General features: G+C 42.5%; 1 annotated feature.

Annotated features, from left to right (window-relative positions):
- Nucleotides 5,216–5,295: an enhancer, noted in NCBI's record as "active region_15849". NCBI's record gives its function as "activates an Ori minimal core promoter by ATAC-STARR-seq in GM12878 lymphoblastoid cells {active_cell/tissue: GM12878}" and the evidence as "EXISTENCE:reporter gene assay evidence [ECO:0000049][PMID:35858748]".

Below are 7,923 nucleotides of genomic sequence, written 5' to 3'. Positions count from 1 at the left end.
AGGAGGCTGAGGTAGGAGAATGGCGTGAACCCGGAAGGCAGAGCTTGTAGTGAGCCGAGTTTGCGCCACTGCACTCCAGCCTCGGCAACGGAGTGAGACTCTGTCTCAAAAAAAAAAAAAAAAAAAAAGAAGACATACAAATGGCATATAAGCACATGAAAAGATGCTGAACATCATAAGTCACTAGGGAAATGCAAATCAAAACCATTACATGATACCACTACATACTCATTAAAATGGCTATCATTAGAAAAGTCAGCAATACCAAGTGTTGGTGAAAACATGAAGAACTAGAACTCTCATATATCGCTACTGGGAACTGAAAATATCCTGGAAAACTGTTTAGCAGTTTCTTAAACAGTTAAACATAATCTCACTCCTCAATATTTACCCAAGAGAAGTGAAAATTTGTGTTTACACAAAAATCCACAGGCAAATGTTTATAGTGGCTTTATTCATAATTGCCTAATACTGAAAACAACCTACATGTCTTTCAGCTGATACGTGGATAAACAAAGAGCAATACATCCAAACAGTGGAATACTACACAGCAATAAAAAGGGAATAAACTGACACATGCAAAAACATGGATTAATCTCAAACGTCTTAAGCTAAGTGTCAAAGGTTGAATTGTGTCCTCCCAAAAATAGTAAGTCCTAACTCTCTAACACTTCAGAATGTGATCTTATTTGGAAATAGGGTCACTGCAGATATAATGTCTTAAGATGAGGTCATACTCAAATAAGGTGGGCCCTTAGTCCCATATGACTGATGTCCTTATAAAGAGACACACAGGAAAAATGCCATGCAATGAGAGGTGGAGATTGGAGTTACGCAGGCACAAGGTAAAAAAATGCCAAGATTGCTGGTGACACCAGAAGCTAAGAGAAAGGAATGGAACAGATTCTTCCTGGAGCCTTTGGGAAAGCATGGTCCTTCCGACAATATAATTTTGGACTTCCAGCATCCAGAATGAGACAATACTTTCTTTTATCTTTTCTTTTTCTTTTTTTTTTTTTTTTTGATACAGTCTCGCTCTGTCTTCCAGGCTGGAGTGCAGTGGCATCATCTCGGCTCATTGCAACCTCCGCCTCCTGGGTTCAAGTGATTCTCCTGTCTCAGCCTCCCGAGTAGCTAGGATTACAGGTACATACCACCATGCCCCGCTAATTTTTGTGTTTTTAGTAGAGACGGGGTTTTGTCATGTTGGCCAGGCTGGTCTCAAACTCCTGACCTCAGGTAATCTGCCCGCCTTGGCCTCCCAAAGTGCTGGGATTACAGGCATGAGCCACCCGCGCCTGGCTGACAATACATGTCTATAGTTTGAAGTCACCCAGTTTGTGTTGTTTTGTTACAGCAGCCCTAGCAAACTAATGTATAAGTGAAAGAAGCCAGACTTAAAAGGCAACATACTATGTGCTTCCATTTGTATGACATTCTGGGAAAGGCAAAACTATAGAAATGTTGCATAGATCAGTGGTACAAGGGGTAGGGGGTAGGGTGAGGAGATGACTACAAAGGGGCAAGGGAGAATTCTAGGGATGATAAACTGTTCTATGTGTTGATTATGATGGTAGTTATACAATTGCATGTGTTTGTCAAAATTCATAAAACTTTACAATTAAATGGGTACATTTTACTTTGTAAATTATACCTAATTAATCTGACCAAAAATAATTTCCAAAAACCCAAAACCAACAGTCAAAAAACTTTGCATATCTTCCACCCAGATTCAACAGCTGCTAATATTTGACCATTTGCTTTATATATGAATGTGATTTTTCCTGAATCATTTGAAAATAAGTTGCAGACATCAGGACATTTTATACCTAAATATTTCATTATACACTTTTTTTTTTTTGAGACGGAGTTTTGCTCTTGTTGCCCAGGCTGGAGTGCAATGGCGCAATCTCAGCTCACCACAACATCCGCCTCCTGAGTTCAAGTGATTCTCCTGCCTCAGCTGGGATTACACGCATGTGCCACCACACCCTGCTAATTTTGTATTTTTAGTAGAGACGGGTTTTCTCCATGTTGGTCAGGCTGGTCTCAAACTCCCGATCTCAGGGGATCTACCCGCCTCAGCCTCCCAAAGTGCTGGGATTACAGGCACGAGCCACCGCATCCAGCCCCTCATTATACATCTTCTAAGAATAAGGTCAATTTTCTACATATCCAAGAAAAGTAACAATAACTCTAATTATTATATCATCTAATTTACGGTCCATATTTCAACTTCTCCAGTGTATTCAAAATGTCTTTTGTAATTGTCTTTTTCTAACTATATCCAGTCAAGGATAATATTATGTATTTGGATGGTGTGTCTCTACAATCTCTTAATCTAGAATAATCTTTGCATCTTTTATTTATTTATTTATTTTGGAGATGGAATCTTCCTCTGTTACCTAGGCTGGAGTGCAGTGGCTCCATCTCGGCTCACTGCAACCTCCTCCTTCCAGGTTCAAGCGATTCTCCTGCCTCAGCCTCCTGAGTAGCTGGGATTACAGGCGGCTGCCACAATGCCCAGCTTGTATTTTTAGTAGAGATGGTGTTTCGCTATGTTGGCCAGGCTGGTCTCGAACTCTTGACCGCAGGTGATCTGCCTCTCAAAGTGCCGGGATTACAGGCGTAAGCCACCGCACCCGGCCATCTTTGAATCTTTTAATTTTTAAAGTTATTTATTTACTTTTAATTTTTTTGTAGCGACAAGGTCTTGCTATCTTACCCAGGCTGGTCTCAAACTCCTAGCCTCAAGTGATCCTCCTGCCTTGGCTTCCCGAAGTGCTGGGATTACAGGTGTGAGCCACTATACCTGGCTAGCTTCTTTTTTCTTGTTATGACCTTTGTTCAAACACATCGTACTGCAGAATGTCTGACATTCTGGATGTGGTTGATCACTTCTTCATGGTGTTACCAAATATGTTCTTCTATCCCTGCATTTCTTGTAAACTAGAAATTAGGTCTAAAGGCTTGATTAGATTCTGGTTAAATGCTTTTGGCAAGAATAGTTCACAGCTGATAGAGACTTATTTTTCCTTCTTACTGGCCTCCCTACTGGCCTATTTTTCTACATTTCTACATTTCTCTCTCATACAATGAAGGACTTGTGTACCTGGGCAACCATATCTTGTGGTGGGCCTGGTGTACCAGCTAGACACCAAGGCCACAAACATCAATAAGGTAGTTTCTGTCCTAAAGGAGATAAAAGAATGCAATAGCACCCTTTATCATCCAATAAATATGTAGTAACTGCCATGAGGAGCCAGGCACCATGCTAGGTGCTGGGGATACAGCATTAAGCAAAGACCAACAAGTTTACAGTCTAAAGTACAAGGCAAATATTCGTAACAAAGAAAATCCAGAAATAACTTGTGATAAATGCTATGGGAAAAAAAAAAAAAGCACAGGAGAGTATGGCTCAGTATCATGGGAAACCTGACCTAGGGGTGTGCCATGTGAGGTGAGGACTGAAGGATGGGCAGCATACCTCTCATAGAAAAGCAGGGGGATGTGTGTGGTGAGAGGGAAGGATTAGTGGAAGGCAGGGCAAGGGAGGTGAGCTACAAGAAGTTCTCCAAATGGCAGGCAGGCAATTACAATCCCCTGTGGTGATGCCATGGCAGGAATGAACCTACATGCTAAACATGGGCGGTCAGGGCAGCTTCCCTGAGAAAGTGACGTCCAAAGGAAGGCCTGAAGGATGACTCAGTCCGTGGAGGTGAGCAGAGGGAAGATGGAGAAGCAAAGCAGCCTGTTGCTAGAGTTAAATCTGTGTAGGAACTTAGGTTCAAGAAAACTATGATGTATTCTTGCCAAAAATTTTAATATGAATAAAGACTCTAGATCTAACTTCTGGTTTACAGGAAATACTGGGGATTCAATACTGATTTGAATTAAAAACTCTTAACTAAGGCCAGGCATGGTGACTCATCTCTGTAATCCCAGCACTTTGGGAGGCTGAGGCAGGAGGATCATTTACACCCAGGAGCTCAAGACCAGCCTGGGCAATATAGTAAGATCTCATCTTTACAAAACGCTTAAAAAAAATTAGCTGGGCCTGGTGGCACGTGCCTGCGGGTCCCAGCTACTCAGGAGGCCAAGGTAGAAGGATCACTTAAGCTATGATCATGCCACTGCACTCCAGCCTGGGCGACAGAGTGTGACCCTGTCTCTAAAAAATAAAAAATTCCCTAAGCCACACAAGTAAGAGGCAGAGTCGGAATCCAATCCAAAGTTGCTGTTTCCAAAGCACCTGTATTTATCACACAACACTGCTCCCAGTAATAATAATGGCACCTACATAAAACAAAGGTTAGAGAAAGAGGCTTTTTGTAATGAAAGTCAAAGGAAGAGATAGATTCTCTTTTAGCACAACAAGGGCACAGGAGTATGCCAGCGGAGGTCATTTGGCCCAGCGTGAATGATCTGCTTATTTTTAGATGCTTGAACAGGAGGCCAGAGCACGGTGGCCAGAAATTTTCATCCCCCACCCTTCTCATTGTTCCATCAGGAACAGAAAATGATTGTGCTAGAGGGAAGAAATAAAAACAGTTGAGACCTTGGGGGAAGGCCCAGTAGGGTACGAAAGAGAAGGGAAAGGGGAATGTGAGAGAGGAGCCAGGAAGGAGCGACTGGGGAGAGGTCTGCTAACCAGAGGTTTGTACTATAGTGCCATGGCCACTAAGCTCCCTTCCCCATGGCTGAACTCCAAGTTAAACTGTTTAGAGAGGCTGCACAAATCTGTTATCCTGTGCACTCTGGGTTGGTTACAATATGATGCAGCAGTCACCAACCTCTAGGATTCTGTGTGTTCTTCAACAACTAATTGGAAGACAGTTTTGTTAGGAACTGTTTTACGATGGGCTTCTATAACTTTTGTGAATGTCAGGCATGGTGCTGGGTGCTTTGGATACATTCATTATCTCTAATTCTCTCAAAGACCCACCAGAGGAGGTCACTGATACCTAGAGAGTTACTCACCAGGATCACAAGGCTACCAAACCAGTGTTAGATAAACTTAGACACATTAAAATTTTAAAAAGGTTTGAGACCGCGATTCATGAATTGGACATTGCCAAACCACAATTTGATTCGTTGAAGTGGAAGTCCCTAGTTAGAGGCTAGTTGGTGGTTTCTGATTGGTAGTTTCTAGTTAGAGGTTAGCAGGTTTTGACTGGTTATGCTTAAGTTTTGTTTTCCTAGGCCACTTTGAGTTGGGTTTTGATTTGCTTAGAAAGGAACCTAAGGCACTAGAGAAGTCTGAGTCTAATGGCCTCTCATTTATTTATTTATTATTTATTTATTTTTGAGATCGAGTTTTGCTCTGTCACCCAGGCTGGAGTGCAGTGGCGTGATCTCGGCTCACTGCACCTCCGCCTCTCGGGCTCCAGCAATTTGCCTGCCTCAACCTCCCGAGTAGCTGGGATTACAGGCGCCCACCACCATGCCCAGCTAATTTTTTTATTTGTAGTGGAGATGGGGTTTTGTCATGTTGGCCAGGCTGGTCTCAAACTCCTGAGCTCAAGTGATCGGTGTGCCTCAGCCTCCCAAAGTGCTGGGATTACAGGCGTGATCCACTGTGCCCGGCCTTAATTATTTACTTTATTACCAGGTAATTTTTAATTGTGCCTGTCTGACTTGGATACAACTAAACAAGCCAAGAACAGTGCTTCTCAAACTGTGAGTAAGGTTGATTTTTAACATTTCCAATTCATCACAGACTGGTAATTTTGTAAAATATAAAACAAAGTAAAATACATGCAAAATACAAGCTCAAACTTATTACATTTAATAGACATACTCTGTGAATTTGCTGTAAATGTTTCTGAACACTTACCCTGAAGGTTTGTACTGATCTTATCACAGAATGGCAGTAGAACAGAGCAGTGGCTCTTAGTCATGAAGGCACAGCTGAATCATATCCAGAGCTTTTCCTAACTACATGTGCCTGCCTTTCACCCAGACTCTGATTCAGCAGGCCTGGTGTTTAGTAGATACTCCCTGGGGGATTCTGATGTCCATCCCTGGTTAAGAACTACTCACTGCTCTAAGATGTTACCAAAGCCATTTTCTATCTTGGTGCCATTCAGAGAATCAAAGTCCCCTTTCAGAATTCACTAAAACCAGTAAAGGATGAGGGATGGGGGTGGCAAAACTACCAAGGAATTGAAAGATGCAAGAGTTGTCCTCTATAACATCTGCATTACTACCTGATGCTATTTCAATCTTTTCAACTTAAAAATTTTGGTGTTTGGTTCAAGGACGGAATCTCTGAGCAGCAAATTAGAAGCAGTCAAAATTGCATTTAGCAAATAATCACTCCCATCTAAGATAACACCTATGTTTCCTCCTACACAGCCCTGCCTTTGTAAAAACTGGCCACCTCCTGCATCTGCATTTGAGGGATTCTGGGAATTGTCCACACCCCAGAAAAATGGTGCATCCTTAACTTATCCCAGAGGATAGCCCGCTGGTGGGGCAGCCAGTCATTTTCAGAAGAAACAGCCTGGGAAGAGAAACCACTCCACCTTTTGAGATCAGGGCCAATGTGACAGGTAGGGAGATGAGGGATAAGCCTCACAGGAAGACTCCATAGAAACCTCAGTGAGAATAAGAAGTGCTGATGAATTCCCTCCAGAAAAATAATCCAGTGACCTCAGTGTCCCAAAGGAGATGAGGACCAATAGGATGCTTGTGAAAAAAATCACAAATAGGCAGACTGAGCCAAAATGCAATTTATTTTCTTCACTACTCCTAGTAATTAGTTTTTATTTATATCACTGGTGTGTGTGTGTGTGTGTGTGTGTGTGTGTGTTCAACTGACACTACCACAGTGTTAAATCGGTAATAGGGTTTGATGTACACAATGTATACTCTTTTCTCTCAGTCCCAGTCCTTGAAAGGTATTTTCATATAGCAAGTGCTCAATAACATTTGAGAATATTCCTCCCACTTCACTCTCTAAAATAGATTGAAAACTTCTTGATGGACAATTGTTTCCAGGCTACATCAAGGGCTGCAACAAATCAACAGAAAAATACCAAAAGAAAAACAGGGCCAGGCGTGGTAGCTCACACCTATAATCCCAGCACTTTGGGAGGCCAGGGCAGGCAGATCACCTGAGGTCAGGAGTTCGAGACCAGCTTAGCCTAGTAAAGATGGTGAAACCCTGTCTCTACTAAAAATACAAAAAATTAGCCGGGTGTGGTGGTACATGCCTGTAATTCCAGCTACTAGGGAGGCTGAGGCAGAAGAATCGCTTGAACCTGGGAGGTGGAGGTTGCAGTGAGACGGGATGGCGCCACTGTACTCCAGCCTGGGCAACAGAGTGAAACCCCGTCTCTATAAAAGTAACAAAAAATTAGCTGGGCATGGTGGCGCACACCTGTAGCCCCAGCTACTTGCGAGGCTTGGGATAGGAGAATCACCTGAGGTTGAGGCTGCAGTGAGCTGTCATCGCATGCCACTGCCCTCCAGCCTGGGCGATAGAGCGAGACCCTGTCTCAAAAGAAAGAAAGAAAAGAAAACCAGGCAAAAGGCAAAAGACCATTTCATGGAAAGGGAAATAAAAGTAGCAAAGACATAAAAGAAAAACAAAAACGCTCAATCTCACCAATGATTGGGAAAAATGCAAAAATGAGTTTTGACTCATCATACTGGCAAAAATTATGGTATTACCAAGCACTGACAAGGATAATGGGAAATACAGTCATCGTTGCTTAATGACGGGGATACATCCTGAGCAGTGCATCATTAGGCAATTTCATCATTGTGTGAACATCACAGAGTACTTACACAAACCTAGACAGTACAGCCTACTTACATGGTAGAGTTTATGGGCTACAAACCTGTACAGCATGTTGCTGTACTGAATACTGTAGACAACTGTAACACAATGGTATTTGTCTGTCTAAACACAGAAAA

Source organism: Homo sapiens, chromosome 2, assembly GCF_000001405.40.
Source record: "Homo sapiens chromosome 2, GRCh38.p14 Primary Assembly".
In the NCBI taxonomy this organism is placed as follows: Eukaryota; Metazoa; Chordata; class Mammalia; order Primates; family Hominidae; genus Homo; species Homo sapiens.
This window is presented reverse-complemented; position numbering and strand designations above follow the sequence as displayed.